At 39.8% G+C, this 25,789-nt stretch overlaps 1 protein-coding gene across 54 annotated transcripts in view, besides 1 other annotated feature; it reads left to right on the top strand.

The window, feature by feature from the left end:
• STIL (STIL centriolar assembly protein) overlaps positions 1-25,789 on the top strand; it is a 64,758-nt gene that overhangs the window by 6,609 nt on the left and 32,360 nt on the right. For 28 of the 54 annotated variants that reach the window (XM_047428403.1, XM_047428312.1, XM_047428337.1 and 25 more), the window contains 8 exons: positions 3,292-3,399; positions 5,942-6,054; positions 6,540-6,727; positions 8,136-8,383; positions 12,440-12,523; positions 14,744-14,830; positions 18,703-18,853; positions 20,628-20,737. In XM_047428403.1, the coding sequence (XP_047284359.1) occupies positions 3,292-3,399; positions 5,942-6,054; positions 6,540-6,727; positions 8,136-8,383; positions 12,440-12,523; positions 14,744-14,830; positions 18,703-18,853; positions 20,628-20,737 (1,089 nt within the window). Of the gene's footprint in view, positions 1-3,291; positions 3,400-5,941; positions 6,055-6,539; positions 6,728-8,135; positions 8,384-12,439; positions 12,524-14,743; positions 14,831-18,702; positions 18,854-20,627; positions 20,738-25,789 lie in introns of those variants that run through there. The other 26 variants (NM_001377417.1, XM_047428438.1, XM_047428368.1 and 23 more) reach the window with 2 other exon arrangements.
• Positions 1,218-1,783: an enhancer, noted in NCBI's record as "H3K27ac-H3K4me1 hESC enhancer chr1:47772177-47772742 (GRCh37/hg19 assembly coordinates)". NCBI's record gives its function as "activates a minimal SCP1, AML or CMV promoter by ChIP-STARR-seq in naive H9 embryonic stem cells {active_cell/tissue: H9 hESC(naive)}" and the evidence as "EXISTENCE:reporter gene assay evidence [ECO:0000049][PMID:30033119]".

Below are 25,789 nucleotides of genomic sequence, written 5' to 3'. Positions count from 1 at the left end.
AAATTTTAAAGCTGGGCTTCCGGGGGAGACATCACACGTTGGTAGGATTCGTGATGCCCCACAAGCCACAAAAACCAGCAAGTTTTTATTAGGGAGTTTCAAAAGGGGAGGGAGTGTGCGAATAGGTGTGGGTGACAGACATCAAGTACTTAACAGGGTAATAGAATATCACAAGGCAAGTGGAGGCAGGGCGAGATCACAGGACCACAGGACTGAGGCGAAATTAAAATTGCTAATGAGGTTTTGGGCACCACTGTCATTGATAACATCTTATCAGGAGACAGGGTTTTCAGATCAACCGGTCTGACTACAATTTATTAGGTGGGAATTTCCTCTTCCTAATAAGCCTGGGAGCGCTATGGGAGACTGGAGTTTATTTCACCTCTGCAATCTCGACCATAAGAGACAGGTACGCCCCGGGGGGGCCAGTTCAGAGACCTACCCCTAGGTGCGCATTTTCTTTCTCAGGGACATTCCATGCTGAGAAAAAGAATTCAGTGATATTTCTCCCATTTGCTTTTGAAAGAAGAGAAATATGGCTCTGTTCTGCCTGGCTCACCGGCGGTCAGAGTTTAAGGTTATCTCTCTTATTCCCTGAACAATTGCTGTTATCCTGTTCTTTTTTCAGGTGCCCACATTTCATATTGCTCAAACACACATGCTGTACAATTTGTGTAGTTAACGCAATTATTACAGGGTCCTGAGACGATATACATCCTTCTCGGCTGACAGGATTAAGAGATTAAAGCAAAGACAGGCATAGGAAATCACAAGGGTATTGATTGGGGAAGTGATAAGTGTCCATGAAATCTTTACAATTTATGTTTAGAGATTGCAGTAAAGACAGGCATAAGAAATTACAAAAGTATTAATTTGGGGAACTAATAAATGTCCATAAAATCTTCACAATCCACGTCCTTCAGTCATGGCTTCGGCCGGTCCCTCCATTTGGGGTCCCTGACTTCCCGCAACAAGACAGAGTCTCACTCTGTCACTCAGGCTGGAGTGCAGTGGTGCGGTCTCAGCTCACTGCAACCTCAACTGATTCAAGCAATTCTCATGCCTCAGCCTCCTGAGTAACTGGGATTACAGGCGTGTGCCACCATGTCCAGCTAATTTTTTGTTTTTTGTTTTTTGAGATGGAGTTTTGCTCTTGTCACCCAAGCTGTAGTGGGGTGGCGTGATCTTGGCTCACTGAAACCTCTTCCCCCTGGGTTCAAGTGATTCTCGTGCCTCAGCCTCTGAACTAGCTGGGACCAGAGGCGCGTGGCACCACACCTGGCTAATTTTGTATTTCTAGTGGAGATGGGGTTTCACCATGTTGGCCAGGCTGGTCTCGAACTGCAGGCCTCAAGTGATCCACCTGCCTTGGCCTCCCAAAGTGCTGACATAGGTGTGAGCCACCAGGCCTGGCCCCATTAGTGGTCTTTTTCTTATTGTGGTTTTCTCGTGTTATACACTCATGTAAAATGAAAAGTTTTTGATGGTACCCTATATGATTTAATATCACAACCTTGCTTTACACTGCCCCTGGCATCTTTGTTGAGGAATTATTTATAATTATGTCCTTTTGACGCTTCAATAATTAAACTTGTGCTGTATTTTGGTATTCCAGAATACCAAATTTGGAAACACTGGAAAATAATTAAGAATTTATTAAGTTTTTTTGCTTTTCATAACTGTTGGGTATTATCTAACAATTATCTGGAAATCAGTTCAGAAAGACAGATTTTAGGCCAGGAGCCATGGCTCATGCCTATAATCCCAGTGCTTTGGGAGGCCAAGGTGGGAAGATTGCTTAAAACCATGAGTTCAAGACCAGCCTGGGAAACATAGCAGGACCCTGTGTCTACAAAAATTACAAAAGTAAATCTCACGTGGTGGTGCACATTTGTGGTCTTAGCTGCTTGAGAGGCTCCCTTGAGCCCAGGAGTTTAAGGCTGCAGTGAGGTATGATTGAGCCCCTGCATTCCAGCTTGGGCAACAGAGCAAGGCCCTGCTCTTTAAAAAAAAAAAAAAAAAAGGAAAGAAAAGAAAGATTTTAGTTTAAATTTAAATGTAAATGTATGATTTATACTCATTTTTCTGTTACTTAAAAGGGATTTTGTAGGATTGTCTTGTTCTTTTTTTAAAAGCTTGTGTATACATAAATTTACATATGCATAGATAAAAAAGGACAAATAAGCCAAATTTTGAGTGCCTATTCTCCTGGTAGTAGAGTTACAAGTGAATTTTCTTTTTTAAAAAATATTTTTTGGGCCGGGCGCGGTGGCTTACGCCTGTAATCCCAGCACTTTGGGAGGCTGAGGCGGGTAGATCATGACGTCAGGAGTTTGAGACCAGCTTGGCCAACATGGTGAAACCCCGTCTCTACTAAAGATACAAAAAATTACCTGCGTGTGGTGGCAGGCGCCTGTAATCCTAGCTACTCGGGAGGCTGAGGTGGGAGGATCACTTGAACCCAGAGGCGGAGGTTGCAGTGAGCTGAGATCACGCCATTGCACTCCAGCCTGGGCAACAGGGTAAGACTCCGTCTGAAAAAAAAAAAAAAAAAAAAAAAAAGGCCAGGCGTGGTGGCTCACGCCTGTAATCCCAGCACTTTGGGAGGCTGAGGCAGGCTGATCATGAGGTCAGCAGATCAGGACCATCCTGATTAACAGTGAAACCCTGTCTCTACTAAAAATACAAAAAATTAGCCAGGCATGGTGGTATGTGCCTGTAGTCCCAGCTACTTGGGAGGCTAAGGCTGGAGAATCGCTTCAACCTGGAAGGCGGAGGTTGCAGTAAGCTGAGATTGCACCACAGTACTCCAGCCTGGGCGACAGAGTGAGAATCCGTCTCAAAAAATAAAAAAGTATTTTTTGGCCAGGCACAGTGGCTAATGCCTGTAATCCTAGCACTTTGGGAGGCCGAGGCAGGTGGATGACTTGAGGTCAGGAGTTCGAGACCAGCTTGCCCACATGGCGAAACCCCGTCTCTACTAAAAATACAAAAAGTAGCCGGGTGTGGTGGTGCACTCCTGTAATCTCAGCTACTCAGGAAGCTCAGGCAGGGGAATTGCTTGAACCCAGGAGGCAGAGGTTGCAGTGAGCTGAGATCACGCCACTGCACTCCAGCCTGGGTGATGGAGTGAGACTTTGTCTCAAAAAAAATATATATATATAAACTCTTTGAAAATTACAAAAGTAGTCTGAAAATACCATCACCTTAAAGATAGTTAGTTGTTTCCTACCAAATGTCTACCAAGTTTGCTATTCCTTGTGCTTTAATTTTACATTGTTTTTTCAAAAGGTTTCCTTCAAGCAGGATGGTACCTTTCCACTTTCCTCCATCAAAATGTGCACTTTGGAACCCAACGCCAACTGGAGATTTCATCTACTTACATCTCAGTTACTACAGGTATAACATGTTTCTTTTTTTCAAATCAAGCCAGTATAAACAAGAGTAATACAAAGATGTATAAGGCAAAGTTGATTACTATGACCAATTATTCATTTTTCTTTACTTTTCTTTTAGAATCTCCCCTCAGGCAAAATTTTCCTTCTGCTTCTTAACATCTGTTCCTTGTACTTTTGAGAGATAATCTTATCTTCCCAGTTTTCTGCAAATTCTGCATATTGTAGGAATTCAAAAGAGGTGAAATATAGTAAAAACTGAAAGTGTTTTTTATTATGTCAGCATGGTGTCTTTGTGGAACGTTGAGAAGCTTGAACCAATTTTTGAGTGGATCAGATTAGAAGGAATATAAAATCTTGTAGTTACATCTAGGACCTTGACAGACAAGAAAGTTTAGGTGTAAAGTAATAGAAAATAGATCTATTGAGGTTTTGTACATAAGAGTTACTTGTTAAAAGTAGTATTCTAAGAAGGATAGATTATGGCGGGGAGAGCCTTGAGTCAGCCTAGCTTCAAGATGCTTTTCTGTAATCACACAGGTGTATATTGTAATGGTTTAAGGTGCTATAACTGGGCTGGGTGCAGTGGCTCACACCTGTAACCCCAGCACTTTGGGAGGTTGAGGCAGGAGGATTGCTTGAAGTCAGGAGTTTGAAACCAGCCTGGGCAACAAAGTGAGACCTTGTCTCAATAAAAAATTAAAATAAAAAGTAAAAAAAAAAACAAAATAAGGAAAAAAAAACGGTGCAATAATTGGAGCAGACTGCCTAGGGAATCAAATCCTGATTCTAGTACTTATTTATGCAACCTCAGTAAAGTAGCCAAGGATCAGTTTCCTTATTTATAAAATGACTATAATAATACCAGTTTCACAGTTCTCTTGTAGGGGTTAAATAAGACTCTGTAAAGCAATTGTCACAGTGCCTGGAATAGAAAGTATTTCATAAATGGCATCTATTATACATTATAAGGACTTAGAGCAATGTAGCAGTATTCAGATCAAGAGGAAAGAATGAAACAAGGTGTTTTGAATAAATAATTTGTAGTATTTGATGATTGACTGAATAGAGGAACTGAAGGAAAGATACAAGAAAGAAAGTATTCGGGTTCAACACTAGTTGGCAGAGAAGGGTGGTACCATTGACAAAAATAGGGAGAGTCTTATGGAAGTTCAACTAAATAATGGTTAGTCCTGTTTTTATTTTTTTTATTGTTGTCTTTCTGTACATTTTGAGTAGTTTCCTTTGTTTTTCAAGTCTGCTTATTTTCTCTTTAGCTGTGCTTAGCTGCCATCTAACCTATTCATTTAAGTTTGGTTGTTTTTTTTGAGAGGAGTTTTGCTGTTGTTGTCCAGGCTGGAGTGCAGTGGCGTGATGTTGGCTCACTGCAACCTCCGCCTCCCATGTACAAGCGATTCTCCTGTCTCAGCCTCCCAAGTAGCTCGAATTACAGACATGTGCCACCACGCCTGGCTAATTTTTTTGTATTTGGTAGAGATGGGGTTTCACCATGTTAGTCAGGCTGGTCACGAACTCCTGACCTCAGGTGATCCACCTGCCTCATCCTCCCAAAGTGCTGGGATTACAGGCATGTGCCACCACGCCTGGCCCTCATTTAGGTTTTTTAAAACGTGGCGGTGTACCATATATATGAGAGGATACTTATAGTATATATGCATAGTTAATAGAATAACAATACACATTTGTGTACCTATCCCCAGTTAATTATATAACTTATTGAATTTTTGCAAATTATATTTTTTATTTCTTTAAGTTCTGTATGGCTTTTTTATTCAAATTTGCCTGGTCTTTTTTCGTAGTATCTTATTCCTGGCTTATATTTTGGTTTTCCTTTTACATTTTTTAAAGCATTTAAATCATACTATATTTTGTATTCAATACAGTAGTTTCCCCCCTTTATGCATGGTTTCACTTTCCATGGTTTCAGTTACCCACAGTATAATACAATAAGGTATTTTGAGAGACAGACCATATTCACACAACTTTTTTACAGTATACTGTTAAAATTATGCTACTATTAATTATTGTTGTTAATCATTTACTGTGCCTAATTTATAAATTAAACTTTATCATAGATACGTATGTATAGGAAGAAACATAGTATATATAGGATTTGTTACTATCTGTGGTTTCAGACATCCACTGGGGGTCTGGAACATGTCTCCCAGAGATAAGGGGGCACTACTGTAATGCTGATTATATCTGAAGCCCATACACAGTATGTAAAGAAACAGATGTGACTGTTTCAATCAAAATTTACTTACAAAAACAGGAGACCTACCTGCTGAGGTTCATAAAGTTAACAAAATGCCTGGAGAACAACTATAGTTTCAGTGTCTGTTTATTGCCATTCTAGTTTCCAAGTGGCCCTCCGTATCCCCTGCCTTTGACCCTGGGATTTCCTGACAATGATCTTTCTGTACATTTTTAAAAATGTGTGTTATAATTTAGACAGCATTTTATGGCAGGAGGTTTTTTTAAGATATGAGGTCTACCATATTCATAAAAGACTTGTTGTTTTTCAGAAATCCAAAGCTTGTGGTGACTGAGAAGACCATCCGACTTGCTTATCGTCATGCTAAGCAGAATAAAAAAAATTCGTCATGCTTTTTACTTGGTTCTCTGACAGCAGACGAAGGTAATACACTTTTAAAAATGGACCAGTGCTCACGCCTGTAATCCCAGCACGTTGGGAGGCTGGAGTGGGAGGATCACTTGAACCTAGGAGTTTAAGACCAGCTTGCATAACATAGTAAGACTCCATCAGTACAAGAAAACATTTTTTTAAATTACTTGTATGACTGCAATAGAATTTATTGATTCGGCCAACTATTGTATTTGCTTTGCGCTAATTTTCTTTGCTGTGTACCAAGGATATGAAGATGAGTAAAACTATTAATTACAGAGTTCACTGTCTGGTCAGATGGATCAATATATATAAGCAAGTAAGACTTTAGTATACGCTTATAAGAGTTTAGTTTACTGTAAGAGTTTAGTTTAGTATTTAAGAGTTTAGTGTACTATTGGTATGAACAAAGTGCTTTGCTATAATGTAGTCTTGCTTGGTTGATTTTATGTTTTTAATTAGTATGCTGTATAATAGCTGTTATTTTTGTTCTACAGATGAAGAAGGTGTAACATTGACAGTAGATCGCTTTGATCCTGGTCGAGAAGTACCTGAATGCCTAGAAATAACCCCTACTGCTTCTCTTCCTGGGGACTTTTTGATTCCATGCAAAGTTCATACTCAAGAACTTTGTTCAAGAGAAATGATAGTTCACAGTGTAGATGACTTCAGTTCAGCTTTAAAGGTGCGATTCATTGACAACTTGATAGTTAATTCAACACAAGAATCAAACTATGTTTAGTATGCTGTATTTTAGTAAAACCATATTTGAGAATGATTTACAATAATTTGGTTGAATTATTGTGAACCTAAAATCCAACTAAATGTGTTTGTGAGGGCAAAAACTCTAGGTAAGCGATATGAGTAGCCTTTCAGAAGAAGCAGTGTAACCGAGATAAGAAAGTTCAAGATGTACTTAGGGTAGTGTTTAGAGTATACATTTTTGCTGAATTTGTGGGCAGTCAGACTGGAGTATTAATTTGGTCAGATTATAGAGAGGCTTGGCTGGGCATGGTGGCTCCTGTCTTTAATCCCAACACTTCGGGAAGCTGAGGCAGGTGGATTGCTTGAGCCCGGGAGGTTGAGCCGTGATCACACCACTGCACTCCAGCCTTGGTGGGAGCAAGACCCTGTCTCAAGAAAGAAGAGCCTTGTCTGCCAGCCTGATGAATTTGAACTTTGTCATATGGGCCATGTAGAAATTGAAGGTTCTTGAAAAAAGAAAACACTGTCAAATCAGAAATAGTTAATCTGATAGGGTAGGCTGACCGAAGTTAGAGTAGCCATTGTAGAAGTTGGGCAGGTGTGTATTATAGAGGGATGTATTAACCTATAGTACAATGGTAGCAGTGAAACTAGGAAGGACACAGTGGGCATGGGCAAATACAGAGGGAGAACTAACTTGACAATTTGTGGTAACAAGAAAGGAATCAAAGAGGAATGGACTTTAGATTCTCTGAGGCTCAATCGGAATTATTTTATGAGGCCAGGCACGGTGGCTTACGCCTGTAATCCCAGCACTTTGAGAGGCTGAGGTGGGCTGATCAGGAGGAGTTCAAGACCAGCCTGGCCAACATGGTGAAACCTTGTCTCTACTAAAAATATAAAAAATTAGCTGGGTGTGGTGGCACACACCTGTAATCCCAGCTACTTGGGAGGTTGAGGCAGGAGAATCGCTTGAACCGGGAGGTGGAGTTTGTGGTGAGCTGAGATCGCACCACTGCACTCCAGCCTGGGCAAAAAGAACGAGACTCCTTCTCAAAAAAAAAAAAATTATTTTATGTCCATTTTTTCCCATGTGGTAAATATTTATTGGGGGTGACTCCCCAATAAGACTGAAGTGCTGCTGGGATATCTACATTGAAAATGTGTAGTGGAGCTTGGGACAGTAAATCTTACTTGCTTTGATATAATTATTCACATAATCTTTTGGTCACATGGAATAAACGAGAACTGAAATGCTGTAAATCAGAACTCATTTAATTTTATTTGTGCAAGATATTATATATGTATATGTATCAGTATAAAATAAACTTTGGCGATATGGGCACATTTCAAAGTTTTAAAATAATTATTTAATATTGATTTCTCAGGCTCTACAGTGCCATATATGTAGCAAAGATTCCTTGGACTGTGGTAAGCTGCTTTCCCTAAGAGTTCATATCACTTCCAGGGAGAGTTTGGACAGTGTGGAATTTGACTTGCATTGGGCAGCAGTAACTCTAGCAAATAACTTTAAATGCACACCTGTGAAGCCCATCCCCATTATTCCAACAGCTCTGGCAAGAAACTTGAGCAGTAATCTGAATATTTCTCAAGTTCAAGGGACTTATAAATATGGGTAAGTAAAAGATACATTAATCTAAATGTTAGTTGCATTAGTATATTTTCAGAATGTCCATGTAATGTGAAAGAATTGTCCAGTCAATTTATATGCCAGAGATATGGTGGCTTGGTTAATAACCAGGGAAAGTAAAAAATGAAATGGTTTATTTTCGTTGAATATGAAATTTTCTTTAAGTTGTGCCACCACCTACAAAAAATTGGTGGTAGGGCCTGGCGCAGTGGCTCACACCTGTAATCCCAGTACTTTGGGAGGCCTAGGCGGGCAGATCACCTGAGGTCAGGAGTTGCAGATCAGTCTGGCCAACATGGTGAAACCCCATCTCTACTAAAAATATAAAAATTAGCTGAGCGTGGTGGTGCATGCCTGTAGTCCCAGTTACTCGGGAGGTTGAGGCAGGAGGATCACTTGAACCTGGGAGGTGGAGGTTGCAATGAGCTGAGATCGCACCACAGCACTCTAGCCTGGGCAACAGAGACTCCGTTTCAAAAAAAAAAAAAAGACAAAACTGAGTGGCCATAAAGTATAATGTCTGGATAACTCAGTTCTTTTTTTGAGATGGTGTCTTGTTCTGTCACCCAGACTGGAGTGCAGTGGTGGGATCTTGGCTCACTGTAACCTCCACCTCCCTGGTTCAAGTGATCCTCCCACTTCAGCCTCCTGAGTAGCTGTGATTACAGGTGCATGCCACTACACCGGCTAATTTTTGTATTTTTAATAGAGATGAGGTTTCACCATGTTGGCCAGGCTGGACTTCAACTCCAGACTTCAGGTGATCCTCCTGCCTCAGCCTCCCAAAGTGCTGAGATTACAGGGGTGAGCTACCATGCCCAGCCCCAGAGACCTCAGTTCTAAAAAAAAAAAAAAAGTGGTGGTAAAAATTATATTAAAATTGGAGGCCGAGGCGGGTGGATCACGAGGTCAGGAGTTCAAGACTAGCCTCACCAACATGGTGAAACTCCATCTCTACTAAAAATAACAAACAAACAAAAAAGCTGGGCATGGTGGCACGTGCCTGTAATCCCAGCTACTCAGGAGGTTGAGGCAGGAGAATCGCTTGAACCTGGGAGGCAGAGGTTGCAGTGAGCTGAGATCACACCATTGCACTTCAGTGTGGGCGGCAGAGCGAGACTCTGTCTCAAAAAAACCAAAAAACAAAAAAAAACAAATTGGTTGATAATTTATTATTTGAAAATGTAAGAGGAAATTGTGTTCTATATTGTATATTCTGTATTATTCTTTGTATTTTATTTAGGTTTTAGGCCTTTTTTTTTTCTTAACTATAACCTAATTATGAACCCAAGGGAGGCTAGAGAATTCATTTATAGTATGTGGTTTTAACTGTGAATAATGAGCATTGCAGATAGAGAAAGGAGATAATTAAATAAAAAGTTACAGTACTCTTGCTTACCAAATTGCCAACTACTTGAGGGTGGAGTTTCCTCACAGAGCTGGAGTAGAATCCTCTCCAGCTTCCTATCTCCACTCTTAATTTCTTAGGAAATGTAAGCCAAAATGCATGCTTTCTAATCTTCAGCAAGGCTGCTTCCCTGAATCTTCATCTATTTTCTTTATCTATTATTTATAAAACTAGGTTAGACAATATAACTACTCTACTTTAAAGTTTGACCAGAGACTGCTCCAAGTATTACACTTCTGGTTTCCTTTCCCAGTGACTCCACCCTAGTTCCTGTTAGGCCATTCAATCTAAAAATGTTTGCCAAAGTACACTCAATTCCAAGTCTTATTCTCTAAAAATACCTCTTCAGAACCAGATTCTGACCAGAGCTGTGCTTTCTGATTGGAGTGGCCCAAAGGAAAAATTGGTATATTCCAAAATCATGGAGTGGTCAAAAGTGAGCAAAAATTGTTTGAATTAAATGAAACATTTAATCCTCTTAATTAATAAAGTACTTCTCAAGTGGAGCATGGGATTTTTTGTTTAAATTAACAAAAAAATTAATTTGTTTTCTTTAGTACCCATCCCCATTTACTTGTATAGCATGAATTTACCTTTCTTGGAATTATCCATCTGTGACTGCTGGGCGGGCATGCTGGTAATAACCAGGATGTTCAGTATTCTGTCAATCACCTATTCTCCTTGCCACTTCCTATCTAGAATCGTCTATTAAATTGGTGACATTTGCCATGCCAGGTACATTGACACACACCTGTAATCCCAGCTGCTTGGGAGAGTGAGGCAGGAGGGTGGCTTGAGCTTAGGATTTCAAGGCTGCAGTAAGCTACAATAGTGCCTGTGAATAGCCACTGCTCTCCAGCTAGGACAATGTAGTGAGACCCCATCATTAAAAAAAAATTTGACATTTGCCCTTTATATACCCTAATATTTACTAGGGCCCATTATGGCATAGGCATTATGTTAGACATTGGAAATAAATAGATTAAAAACTATACTTACTATCTATTGAATATGTTGACATGTAAACATGATGTGTTATAATGGAGGTTTATATACAGTGCTGGGAAAGTAGGGGGAGGGATGTCCAAAATGCCTGGGGAAATCATGGAAAGCCTGAACTAATTCTTTTTTTTTTTTTGAGATGGAGTCTTGCTCTGTTGCCAGGCTGGAGTGCAGTGGCACGATCTCAGCTCACTGCAGCAACCTCCACCTCCTGGGTTCAAGTGATTCTCCTGCCTCAGCCTCCCAAGTAGCTGGGATTACAGGCGCCCGTCACCATGCCTGGCTAATTTTTGTATTTTTAGTAGAGATGGGGTTTCACCATCTTGGCCAGGCTTGTCTTGAACTCCTGACCTCATGATGCACCCATCTCAGCCTTCCAAAGTGTTGGAATTACAGGCATGAGCCACTGGGCCCAGCCAGCCTGAACTAATTCTTTTAAGGAGTAGAAATTTATCAGATGGGCAAGACATGAGGGAGAACTTTTAAAGCAGCTGTGTCATTGTTGATTTGTAAATCTTACGCCAACTCAGGCTTAATATTCTTGTCACAAGACCTGACAAATGTATTGTCTTTGTGTTTTAGTGTTATTAGAGCAATAAAATATATCATCAGTGGTACTGCCAAGGCTTTATATCACTAATGGCATTGTTTTTGTTTTCTGTTTTTGAGACGGAGTCTCACTCTGTTGCCCAGGCTGAAGTGCAGTGGTGCAATCTCGGCTCACTGCAACCTCTGCTTCCTGGGTTCAAGTGATTCATTCTCCTGCCTCAGCCTCCCGAGTAGCTGGGATTACAGGCGTGTGCCACAATGCCTGGCTAATTTTTTTTTTTGTATATTCAGTAGAGATGGGGTTTTGCCATGTTGGCCATGCTGGTCTCGAACTCCTCACCTCAAGTGATTTGCCCACCTCGGCCTCCCAAAGTGCTGGGATTACAGTAAGCGTGAGCCACCATGCCTGACCCACTAATGGCATTGTTTTTGAAGAAAGACATAACAATAAAATTAACAATTCTACTTTGGTTTTTTGTATTCTTATAACTTGCTGTCAATAATAAATATAATAAAATATAAATATAGTATAATGTCCTTTTAGGAAAGAGTGAGCTTTTGTGTTTTATGATGGTTCCAAAGTCCTTTGACAGTGGTTGGAGGAATATGGCACATGGAAGGTTGATCATACTTCTCCTAATTCAGTCTCCTTCACTTAGAAGTCACATCTGTTGCAGTCTTGTCAAATCACTTGGATGCATGAACATTTTCTAGTGATAGGGAATTCAGTTCTTCCAAGGAAACCTATTTGGTTCTGAAACTGCCTACCTTAATGTTAACACTCTTGATTAAAGTAAATTGTAAGTAAAGTTATAGAGCAAAACTTTTAAAAAAGGTGTATAATCTTCAATGTCTTTTAATTGATAGATGGAAGTTTTAAGGTATTAAATCTCTTTAATCTCTTCCTCTTACCAGAGTCTTTTTACTGAGTCAGTAAAAAGTTTCTGTTTCTTTTGTGTGTGCAAGACAACGTTCATTTGAATTATCTCCCCTTTCTAAAGTATGCTTCAGCATTTAGATTATGTCTTTTAGGTAAAAAGTACATAATTTCAGTTATTTTCACATGAATGTCTTCTGTTTAGATATCTTACCATGGATGAAACACGCAAATTGTTACTTTTGTTGGAATCTGATCCCAAGGTTTATTCTCTACCATTGGTGGGAATGTAAGTATTACATTATTTATGAAAACCTTATCAGCCAAATGTTCAAATGTATATGATAAGCATGTGACTCAGTTGTACTATAAATATTTAGATCATTTTATAAAGCCACAAAGATAAGTGGTTGTCAGGTTTTCTTATTTTACTAGTAGAATCAGCTAAAATAAGATTTTACCCAATCTTTTTTTTGAGATGGAGTCTTGCTCTGTGCCCAGACTGGAGTGCAGTGGAGAGATCTCGGCTCACTGCAATCTCCATCCCCCAGGTTCAAGTGATTCTCGTGCTTCAGCCTCCTAAGTAGCTGGGATTACAGGCGTGCATCACCATGCCTGGCTAATTTTTGCTTTTTTAGTAGAGACGGGGTTTTACCATGTTGGCCAGGCTCGTCTCGAACCCGTGGCCTCAAGTGATTTACCCGCCTCAGCCTCCCAAAGTGCTTGGATTACAGGTGTGAACCATCATGCTCAGCCAGATTTTGTCCAATATTAGGAAGAACTCTAACATATAAAACAGATAAAAGCTTAATTCTATGGCCAGGCGCAGTGGCTCACGCCTGTAATCCCAGCACTTTTGGAGGCTGAGGTGGGCGGATCACCTGAGGTCAGGAGTTCGAGGTCAGGAGTTCAAGGCCAGCCTGGATAACATGGTGAAACCCCATTTCTACTAAAAATACAAAAAATTAGCCAGGCATGGTGGTGCGTGCCTGTAATCCCAGCTACTTGGCAGGCTGAGGCAGGAGAATCACTTGAGCCCAGGAGGTGGAGGTTGCAGTGAGCTGAGATTGCGCCATTGCACTCCAGCTTGGGCAACAAGAGTGAAACTCCTTCTCAAAAAAAAATAAAAAATATAAGTTGAATTCTCCTGGTTGAAGGTGAAGGCTTAGAGCCCTGTTTCTTCAGTATTCTCTCACTACCACTCATCCTTAAGTCACCCTAAAGAACTCAGGGCTCATAATAATACCATTTAAAATCCACTGTCAGTCAATCTTGCAGAAATCTCCTTTAGTGTTAATGGCCTTCTCTTTAGAGTAGTAATTAATGATATTTATGTGTTTACTTTTTTTTATATATGTATACATGTTTTGAGACAGGGTCTCACTTTGTCACACAGGCTGGAGTGCAGTGGCACAATCATGGCTCACTGCAGCCTCAATCTCTGGGGTTCAGGTGATCCTCCCACCTCAGCCTCCTGAATAGCTAGGACTACAGGCACCGGCCATCACGCCTGGCTAGGTTTTGTATATTTTGTAGAGGCGGGCTTTCGCCATGTTGCCCAGGCTGGTCTGGAACTCCTGGGCTCAAGCCATCTGAGTTAATGATATTTAGACAGAATATTTAGAAATTTATATTCATTCAGTATTGAGTACTTATTATATACAGTGTTATGCTTGATAATGTGTTGAGGTTTAAAGCTTCTTAAAGAATTTAAAATCAAAGTGAGGTGATAAAACATTCAAATATTCATACACAGAAAAATAAAGTATATGATTTACTATAAAGTGACCAGTATGGAAAGTGAACACTTAGTATTTGTAAGAAAGATATGATAGGGAGCATTTTCCTAGAGAAGACAAACTTGAGCTAGACTTTCAATTGTTTAGATAGTAGAAGGGAAGATTGTTGGGGAAGGGAACCCATGTAAGGGAATGGCACATGCAAAGTGAATGAGAATGCATGAATGTTCTCTGGACCATGAAATCTACTTATAGTTTGCTACAGTCCTAATATAGGCAATGGATTGTTGATGCTTAAGTAAATATTAAGAGCCTTCTCTCTTTCTGACTACCTGTATATATTACAGCATTTAATCCTCAGCAACTCTGTGAAGTAGTTTTAGGCTGCAAATTAGTCTGTACTACCTTAGCCCATTCTTTCCAGTCCAAGCTAATTCATTCTAGTATACTGCTTTCATCTCTGTTAACCATTTTCTTTCCCACATCTCAGGTAAAAGAGGACAGAGATACGCGTGCTTGCTCTCTTTCTCTCTCTCTCTCTCGATATATATCTATATGTCTGTCTATATATATCAATATAGTTATATATATACAAATGTCTATATATTCTTCCTTTTAATTATCAGCACGTTTTTAGATTTCTTATTACTAAGGCTTTTTAATGTATGGCTGATAAAAGCCATACGTCTACTTTGTTATCTTAGGAAGAATGTAAATTATGCTATATATGTAAGTGACTATGGTTTTTAATTTCTATCTTTTTCTTTTAGTTGGCTGTCTGGAATTACACATATCTATAGTCCTCAGGTATGGGCTTGCTGTTTGCGATACATATTCAATTCTTCTGTTCAAGAAAGGCAAGTGATATTTTATTCTGTAGTACTTTATTTCGATCCTTTCCCCCATTCATAGTTTATGGTCCCATTTAAAATTCATGTAATGCCGTAACCTTTTACAATACTTATAAATAAACACGTACATTAAGAAAAAACAAACCTTATATTAAATGAGAATAAAACCAGATTAAAAAAAGATGAGGTTGCAGTATACCTGGAAATACCAAGGAATTCACTTGCCTAACCACAGAACACAAACCTTTTGGGGGTGGAAAAAAACTGTGGAGATTGTCTACTGTAGCATCCTATTTAATAATTAAGGAGGTTAACTTTCAGTGAAATGACTGCAAATGAGTTTGGATTTGTTACCTTACAGATGTTTTATTAAGTTACACAGTGTTACTACTAATACACAAAGAAATACTTGAGACAAGATTTTTAATTTCTTCCTGAAACTGAAGCCTAAACATTGGAATTAATAGTTAGGGAAACTTTACTTTTAACCTCAACTCATTTAATAGATAAAGAAGGTGACATCTTTGTCAGTATTTGTCTCTCACCTTCTTTATCTATTAAATGAGAAGGTCTATTTTTATCTACCTTGGGTGGCTGTAAAGGACTTAAACTATATTGAAAAGGCAGTACAAGCACATAGTAATAAATTGACATATGTAAATATCTACAATAAAAGTAGATCTCTCTTCCTCCCCATTTCCCTAGACCCCATTCTCAGAGGCAATCACTGTAAAGTGATATCTTGTGCTTCCTTCCTGAAATAGTCAATATTTCAATACTCAACATAGACAAGTATCACCTTTTCCTGGCCTGTAAAAATTAAACCATAGCATCCTTTCTTTTCTTTATGTTGCTTTTTTCTGTATAAATTATACCTTGGAGATCATTACCTCTTGGCATATACAGATTTAATATACATATTTTACAACTGAAGAGTTTATAATACATACTGTATTTTAAAAACTGGCCCTTTTGTCTTGCAGATAGTGGTAGACTGAACATTTTATGCATACATCTTTGTGTGCATATGCTAGTATATTTGTAGGATAAGTTTCTAAAAGTGTTTTTTTCTAGGCCAAAGAGTATGTAATTTAAAATTTGGTAGATATTGCCAAATTGCCCTTCAAAAAGACTGCACCAATTTATAATTTTTCCAGCAGTACACGAGAGTGCCTTTTTCTCTACCTGCACTAACACTGTGAAAGAAATATTTATTTATTTATTTATTGAGCACCTATTATATCTATTATGTTCACAGTACTGGGGATCAGAGTAAACAAAATAAAGGTCCCCAGACCAGGCATGGTGTCTTATGTCTGTAATCCCAGCACTTTGGGACTTTGGGAGGCTGAGGCAGGAGGATCGCTTGAGGCCAGGAGTTCCAGACCAGCCTGGGTACCATAGCAAGACTCTGTCTCTAACAAAAAAAAAAAACAAAAAACAAGTTAGCTGGGTGTAATGACACATGCCTGTAGTCCCAGCAGGAGACTGATATGGGAAGATCGCTTGAGCCCAGGAGTTCAGGCTGCAGTAAGCCATGATTGTGCCACTGTACTCCAGCCTGAACAATACAGACCCTGTCTTAAAAAAATAAAATAGGCCAGGCATGGTGGCTCACATCTGTAATCCCAACACTTTGGGAGGCCAAGGCGGGTGGATCACTTGAGGCCAGGAATTAGAGACCAGCTTGGCCAACATGGTGAAACCCCATCTCTACTAAAAATGCAAAAATTAGCCCGGTGTGGTAGAGCATGCCGGTAATCCCAGCTGCTCGGGAGGTTGAGGCAGGAGAATCACTTGCACCCAGGAGGCAGAGGTTACAGTGAGCTGAGATCGCACCACTACACTCCAGCCTGGGCAACAAAAAATAAATAAATAAATAAAAAATAAAATAGTCCTGCAGAGACAGGCAATAAACAGAATAAATAAAATAAATAGTATGTTAAAAGGCGATGAGTACTGTGGAGAAAAATAAAGCCTGAGAGGAGGATGTTGTGTGTCTGAATGATAGTGGCAAGTAAAGAGTTGCCGTTTATTTATTTATTTATTTAATTTTTAATTTTTAAATTTTTATTTATTTATTTTATTTTACTTATTTTTTTTGAGATGGAGTCTTGCTCTGTCGCCCAGGCTGGAGTGCAATGGCTCAATCTCAGCTCACAGAAACCTCCACCTCCTGGGTTCAAGCGTTTCTCCTGCCTCAGCCTCCTGAGTAGCTGGGATTACAGGCATGTGCCACCATGCCCGGCTAATTTTGTATTTTTTCAGTAGAGACAGGGTTTCTCCATGTTGGTCAGGCTGATCTCGAACTCCTGACCTCAGGTGATCTGCCTGCCTTGGCCTCCCAAAGTGCTGCGATTACAGGCGTGAGCCACTGCACCCGGCCAAGAGTTGCAATTTAAATAGGTGGTCAGGGAGGCCGACTTAAGGTGAGGAAGTAAGCCTTGTGGCTGTCTGGGGCACTGTCCTAGGCAAAGGATGTGTTAAGTGTAAGGGCTCTGGGTGAAACAACACGTTACATCTTCAAGGAGCAGCAAAGAGGCCACTGTAGCTAGAGAGGAGTGAAGGAAGGGGAGAGTAGCTGGAGATGAGCTCAGAGAGGTGAGTGGAGGGCTGTTGTTAAACTTTTGACCTCTGCTAACCTGATAGATGAAAAATAAACTTTTCCAATGATTTATAACCTCATCTTCCAGGAACTGCCTAGTCATGTCTTTAGCCATTTTTCTCTTAGATTGTGTATCTTTTCTTTTTTTTTTTTTTTGAGACGGAGTCTTGCTCTGTTGCCCGGGCTGGAGTGCTGTGGCGCGATCTCGGCTCACTGCAAGCTCCACCTCCCGGGTTCACGCCATTCTCCTGCCTCAGCCTCCCGAGTAGCTGGGACTACAGGTGCCCGCCACCATGCCTGGCTGATGTTTTGTATTTTTAGTAGACAGGGTTTCACTGTGGTAGCCAGGATGGTCTCGATCTCCTGGCCTCGTGATCCGCCTGCCTCGGCCTCCCGAAGTGCTGGGATTACAGGCGTGAGCCACTGCGCCCGGCCTGTGCATCTTTTCATATTGCTTGTGCTAGCAAGCTCTCTCTCTATATATATAATGTAAAATACATAGAGAAACACATATTGATGATATATAGTAACGGTTTTCCCCCCAGATTGTCATTTAAGTTTAACAATATTTTTCCCAAACAGACTTACTGTTTTTTAGTCATATTTATTAATCTTTTTCATATCGTGTTTAGAAAAGATTCACCCACTCCAGGTGTATTTACTGAAGTAAAAAAATCACTTGTATTTTCTTCAGATGCTTTTGGAGTTCTACTTTTAACATTTTGTTTTAACTTTTCAAGATAATTAGTTATATTTAGATAGCAGAAATTAAATGTTAGTTTTAGATCCTTTGCTATGATTTAGTACAATTATGTTTTATTATCAATTACTGATCATGCTTTAAGTTCATATTGACAGTAAATCCTCAGTAAAATTAATTTTGAATTGCTCTCTTATTCCTTTTTTTTTTTTTTTTTTTTGGAGACGGAGTCTTGCTCTGTCGCCCAGGCTGGAGTGCAGTGGCGCGATCTTGGCTCATTACAAGCTCCGCCTCCCGGGTTCACGCCATTCTCCTGCCTCAGCCTCCTGAATAAAATAAAATTTTGTTTTGTAGAGAGGAAGGGTCTCACTATGTTGACAAGGCTGGTCTCAAACTCCTGGCCTCAAGCGATCCTCCCACCTTTTGCCTTCCTAAGTGGTGGACCCCAGTTTTTGAACAAAAATTGCACCTTTTAGTCATTTTGTTAACTAGATTGGGAGACTCACATGAAGTTATTTGAGTGTCATCATGTTATCCTCATTAAATTTTAATTAAATGACTTTTTTTGTGCAGGGTTTTTTCAGAATCTGGAAATTTCATCATAGTTCTCTATTCTATGACACATAAGGAACCTGAGTTTTATGAATGCTTCCCTTGTGATGGCAAGATACCTGACTTTCGGTTTCAGTTGCTAACCAGTAAGGAAACATTACATCTTTTCAAAGTAAGTGATTTCATTGTCTAGTACATTAGTGACTGTTTAGGGTTTTGCACTTTGGCAGTTTAAACCCAACAGCTTTTACCCTTTAAAATAGTAATCCAAACTATTATGCTTTGTTTACTTATAAATAATCTTATTAAATATTAACTTTATTCATTTATGGTTAAATTTTTTTAGTAAATCTGAGATCATATCTTCAACCAAATTACAATAGAGAACCAGAGGTTACTCACAGAATAACTTGCCCATGTTTTTCTAAAATCTTTGAAGAATATATCAGTTGTTCATATATCATTTTATACTTGTGAAGGTTAACTTTGTGGGATCTCAGTACTTTTCTTTGTCCTGATGTTTTTTTTTTTTTTTTTTTTTTTTTGAGATGGAATCTCACTCAGTTGCCCAGGCTGGAGTGCAGTGGCGTGATCTCGGCTCACTGCAACCTCTGCCTCCCAGGTTCAAGTGATTCTCCTGCCTCAACCTCCAGAATAGCTGGGATTACAGGAGCCCACCATCACACCTGGCTATTTTTTTTTTTTTTTTTTTTTGTATTTTCATTAGAGAGGGAGTTTCACCATGTTGGCCATGCTGGTCTCGAACTCCTGACCTTAGGTGATCCACCTGCCTAAGCCTCCCAAAGTGCTGGGATTATAGGTGTGAGCCACTGCACCTGACCATGACTGTATTATTTTTAAAATGTGTGGGAATAAGAAATGGTTTTTTATACTTAAAGGCCATTATTTATATTATGTATCTAAGGAATCAGAATAGATTGTTACTATATCATCTAATAAAATACCTAGAAACACAACTAGATGATGATCATAGAAAAAGTAGATCTTTAGGCCAGGCGTGGCGGCTCACACCTCGAATCCCAGCACTTTGGGAGGCCGAGGTGGGCGGATCACCTGAGGTCAGGAGTTTGAGACCAGCCTGGCCAACATGGTGAAACTCTGTCTCTACTAAAAATACAAAAATTAGCCAGGCATAGTGCCAGGTGCCTGTAATCCTAGCTACTTGGGAGACTGAGGCAGGAGAATCACTTGAACCTGGGAGGTAGAGGTTGCAGTGAACTGAGATCGTGCCGCTGCACTCTAGCCTGGGCAACAAGAAGGAAACTCTGTCTCAAAAAAAAAAAGAGGAAGTAGATCTTTGAAACTAGGTGTCATTATATGAAAATATTCAAATGCTACTTTTCAATAAAATTATTGGTTATTTTAGGTCTCAGACTAATAAAAGTACATTCTTTATTAGAAAAATATTGAATACTTTTAAATAACCACGTGTCCACTCAGATCGTATTTAGTACCTTCTTTGAGATCATGTATATGTTATACATCTATATATTTTATATAAATATATATTTTAATATTATAATATATACATTATATTACATATATGTTATATATAAAATACCTTTATATTATATATTATATACATTTTATATTTTATAGGTTATGTAAGCTATAAAGTTTTTGTATTTTATACCTATCATTTTAACTGAGATCTAATATTTCTGTTTTAGAGACATATTTGTCATTTTATTCTTTAGATGGTATTCTCATTTCATAGTTATATTCACTGAATCTGTGATTATAACACAAGTGATTAACTTTTTCACTTATGTAGCAGGGAACTGGACAGTTTACAAAAGAGGGTTACAGAAATCAGAAGTCTGCCACTCCATCATCTAGTGTTTCAGAGCTACTTTTCATCTAAATAGAATTCTCTGGTGTTCTTATTTAAGTCAGATCTCAAAATATGACCTACTTCATTTCAGAATGTTGAACCTCCTGACAAAAATCCAATCCGTTGTGAACTGAGCGCTGAAAGCCAAAATGCAGAAACAGAGTTTTTCAGTAAGGCTTCCAAGAATTTTTCAATTAAGAGGTAAAAGATCTTTTTGTTATTATGTGTGTGTTTTTTTAAAAATTATATTTATTAGTTTTTGGTGAGTAAAATAACTAAATTATTTCTGATGAAATGATTTTTTAAATCTTATGTACCATAAATGTCTTTGTTTTAAATGCATTCCTTCATATTCACTAGGAAGTTGGATAGTAATTTTAATGAAGTGGCAACTCTAATATGGTTTTCATTTGGGTTGATGTATTATACAGGAAAAATACAAAAGTATTTGTCAAAAAATTATCTTGCTTAGCAAGAATCTGCTCCCTGTTTTGTTTAGTGCTTTCTATTTGTTCTTCCCTTCCTTATAAGTTTCTTATTTTAATATTTAAATTAAAGGTGGGGTCTCGCTGTATTGGCCAGGTTGGTCTCGAGCTCCTAGCCTCAAGTGATCCTTCTGCCTTGGCCTCCCAAAGTGCTGGGATCACGTGTGTGAACCATCGTCCCCAACCCTTCCTTATAGTTTTAAATCTGGACCTATCAGATAAACTACTATAAAATTAACTACTAGCTGGAGTGTGATGGCTCACGCCTATAATCCCAGCACTTTGGGAGTCCAAGGCGAGCAGATCACTTGAGGTCAGGAGTTTGAGACCAGCCTGGCCAACATCCTTAAATCTACATATAATACTGGTCATTTCTCCCATTTTATAGGTGAGAAAAGTGAAGTGTAGAGAAATCACATAGGAAATGTACAGTAAAAGACATTACACACACTCAGGTCCTGAAATTGATCACCCAGTGTTTTTAAAACATTAATCACTAGAATTCTATAGTGCATTTTAACATTTGAAACAGCTAATATTCTTTCTTTCTCAGAACTTTTCTTTTTTTTCTTTGAGACAGAGCCTCGCTCTGTCGCCCAGGCTGGAGTGCAGTGGCGTATCTCAGCTCACTGCAAGCTCCGCCTCCCGGGTCCACGCCATTCTCCTGCCTCAGCCTCCCGAGTAGCTGGGACTACGCCAGGCTAATTTTTTGTATTTTTTTTAGTAGAGACGGAGTTTCACTATGTTAGCCAGGATGGTCTCGATCTCTTGACCTCGTGATCCACCCACCTCAGCCTCCCAAAGTGCTGGGATTACAGGCGTGAGCCACCACACCCGGCCTCTTTCTCAGAACTTTTAGGGATCATTTGGCAGGTCTTCAGTGTTATTTTTTAAAGTTCCTCTCCTCAAGCTGCATCTTCTCCATTTAAAAAAAAAAGCCATTGAAGTTGGAATATTGAAATATAAAGCTGTGGGTGATTAAATCAAACGGTAACTAGTGGTGGGGGGCAGGCAGATATGTGGAGCAGACTATAGTTCAGAAATAGATGCAAACATATGATACTTTCATTATACAATAAAAAATGCATCTCTTGCTGGGTGCAGTGGCTCACGCCTGTAATCCTAGCACTTTGGGAGGCTGAGGCGGGCGGATCAGTTGAGGTCAGGAGTTTGAGACCAGCCTGGCCAACATGGTGAAACCCCGTCTCAACTAAAAATACAAAAATTAGCCGGACGCACTGGAGCGTGCCTGTAATCCCAGCTACTCGGTACGCTGAAGTGGGAGAATCGCTTGAACCCGGGAGGCAGAGGTTGCAGTGAGCTGAGATTGCGCCACTGCACTTCAGCCTGGGCAACAGAGTAAGACCCTGTCTCAAAACAAACTCCTACCTAAAAAAAAAAAATTGTTTTAAAACTTCTAAAACACACTTGAAGAATATTAATTAAATAAAGTCTTGTGACTTCTTGGGTCAGCATATTCTACCTTTTGTGGTAAAGAAGATATTCTCGGCCAGGCCCGGTGGCTCACGCCTGTAATCCCAGCACTTTGGGAGGCAGAAGCAGGCAGATCACCTGAGTCTCGGGACTTGGAGACCAGCCTGGCCAACGTGGTGAAACCCCGTCTTTACTAAAAATACAAGAATTAGCCGGGCCTGGTGGTGCATGCCTGTAATCCCAGCTACTCAGGAGGCTGAAGCAAGAGAATCACTTGAACCCAAGAGGCACAGGTTGTAGTGAGCCGAGATCATGCCACTACACTCCATCCTGGGTGATACAGTGAGACTCCATCTCAAAAAAAATAAAAAAGATATTATCTTGTATTAGGGTTCTCCAGATTAACAGAAACAACAAGATGTGTGTATGTAGAGATATTTGTTTTAAGGAATTGGCTTCTGTGTTTGTGAAGGTTTGGCAAATCCAAAGTCTACAGGTAGAGGCTGAGCACAGTGGCTCATCCCTTTAATTCCAGTACTTTGGAAGGCTGAGGCGGGAGGATTGCTTGAGCTCAGGAGTTCGAGACCAGCCTGGGCAATGTGGCGAAACCCTGCCTCTACAAAAACAGAAAAGAAGTACAGAATTTAGCTGGTTGTGGTGGCACATGCCTATAGTCCCAGCTACTTGCAGGGCTGAGGTGGGAGGATCACTTGCCCAGGAGGTCAAGGCTTCAGTGAGCCATGTTCGTGGCACTGCACTGCAGCCTGGGTGATAAAATGAGACCCTGTCTCAAAGAAAAAAAAAAAAAAAAAGACAAAAAATGTCTACAGGTAGGCTGGTAGGCTGGACACCCAGGGAAGAATTGCAATTTGAGTCCAAAGGCAGCCTGCTGGCAGAATTCCTTTTCCCTCCAGGAAGTCAGTCTTTATCTTTTTTTTTTTTTGAGATAGGGTCTCACTCTGTCACCCAGGCTGGAGTACAGTGGTGTGATCTCAGCTCACTGCAACCTCCACTTCGCAGGTTCAAGGAATTCTCCTGCTTCAGCCTCCCAAGTAGCTGGGATTACAGGTGTGCATCACCACGCCCGGCTAATTTTTGTATTTTTAGTAGAGATGGGGTTTCACCATGTTGGCCAGGCTGGCCTCGAACTCCTGACCTCAAATGATCCACCCACCTTGGCCTCCCAAAGTGCTGGGATTACAGGCTTGTGTCACCTCACCCAGCCAGGAACATCTTTACTGTCTTAAATTTTAAGACCTTATTCAACATTTTATTGAATATTTATGGAAGAAATAGCCAAACTAAGGAGACAATAGCAATTTCTTTAAGATTGTTATTAAAAGCTACTCAGAAGGCTGAGGTAGGAGGATCACTTGGGCCCAAGAAGTCGAGTTGGGGAGCCATGATCATGCTATGCCAACTGCACTCTAGCCTAAGTAATAGAGTGAAACCCGGCTTCAAAAAAAGTGATGTTAAAAAACCTTGTTTATTTTCCATTCTGGCCTAAGCTTTAATGAGGAACAGTCATTTTAAATGTTATCAAAATGTTTGTCTCTCCTAAAGTACTGTTGTTATAACTATACAACCTGAAGTTTTTCCTTTTTTCCCTTGGGTACTAAAAAAGCTAAGAAATGAGGCCAGGCACAGTGGCTCACACTTGTAATCCCAGTGCTTCGGGAGGCAGAGGTGGGTGGATCACCTGAGGTCAGGAGTTCAAGACCAGCCTGACCAACATGGTGAAACCCTGTGTCTACTAAAAATATAAAAATTAGCTGGGCGTGCTGGCACATGCCTGTAGTCTGAGCTCCTCGGACGCTGAGGCTCAAGAATCACTTGAACCTTGGAGGCGGAGGTTGCTGTGAACTGAAGTCATGCTACTGTACTCCAGCCTGGGCGACAGAGGGAGACTCTATCCACCCCCCACCCCCCCGCAAAAAAAAAAGCTAAGAAATGGGTTTTATTGCTCAGTGTCAACGGTTTTGTGTGTATATTCATCTTAAGTACAAAACAGATATTAATTCCATGCCACAACTCAGGTATACAAAAGAATGTAACTTAAAAAAGTTAGTAATTGAACTTAATATCTATTTTAAGCCCCTATTTGTTCTACTGAATTATAGACACCAAATTTCACCTAATTCAAGGTTTCTTTATTCCCTTTTCTCTGGGGTTATATGTAATGTAGAGGGGACTAATGGTATGCCAGTACTGGTGATATGGGGTGACGTGATTCTCATCCATCTGTGCTACAATCTGCTGAGGTGTTTTCATTTGCATCTGGTCTTTGTCAGATTTGTGCAAGTTCCTGCTGCAACTTTTGACCCTGTTCAGGCCACTGGCTCTCTTGTTTCCTGTCCATGCTGCACTGAGCGCTTTGGAATATCATTATGTATCTCAAGCTGCCTTGGGTGTTGGAGAAGAGCTTTGTGGGACTGAAGACCCATTTCTGCTTAAACATAATCATGCAGACATTCTGATTGCTTCATTGTAATACCTTGTACAGAAAGAACTCTGTGAAGGTCTACCTCTTCAGACAATCAGGGTTTAGGGCAAAAGGTCTCTTCTGCTGTTTGATTTTCAAACCTGCCTTGGAGTTTCTTTTGTTCTTCCTGCTAGGGAGGATTCAACTTGCATGAAACAGAATGCAGGGTGCTTTTTTAGGGATCCCATTAATCCTGAGCGCTGTTAGCTTTCATTCTGGCTTTTCTTTTCCCTAATGCATCCTATTGAGACTTTGTCTAGTGTAGGATGTAAAAAAGCCTGATGCATATAGTATTCCAAATCTTTAGTCTTAAACACTAATTTCAGCTTTTAAAACTTGGTACCAGCACTCAGAAATTTTCTGTTTTGCTGGGCATGCCATCTGTGATACAATGAGTATTCCTGACTAAATGGGAGGGTAGTACTTTGATTTTTCAAAGTATTTTCCCATCATAGATATAAGTACATAGGAAAATATAATTCCTTATTTGGTTTTCCTTTTTAATACAGAGGGTTTGTAATATAGTGTGTTTAATAACCTTTAATACTAGATTATAAATTTTTTGACAGCAAGTACTAAGTCTTACTTGTTTCTATATTTATCGAAGTGATCAACTAGAGGGTGCCCAGTGACTTGATTTATTGTGACATTAACAATACAAGGTTAAACTTGCTATCATCAGGTAAATAGGGTAGTTTATTAAGGCTGGCTGGTCCAGCTTCCCTGGTCAACTAACACTGGCCTGAAAAATAAAATAATTTGTGGTTGTCAGATACTAAATTAAATGATCTGAGTACTACTGCAACTTATTAAAGGACTTTATTCAATTTCTAGAAGAAAGAAAACACTGGA

This window comes from Homo sapiens, chromosome 1, assembly GCF_000001405.40.
Source record: "Homo sapiens chromosome 1, GRCh38.p14 Primary Assembly".
In the NCBI taxonomy this organism is placed as follows: domain Eukaryota; kingdom Metazoa; phylum Chordata; class Mammalia; order Primates; family Hominidae; genus Homo; species Homo sapiens.
Note: the sequence above shows the minus strand (reverse complement) of the source record. Positions and strands in the feature narration are given on the sequence as shown.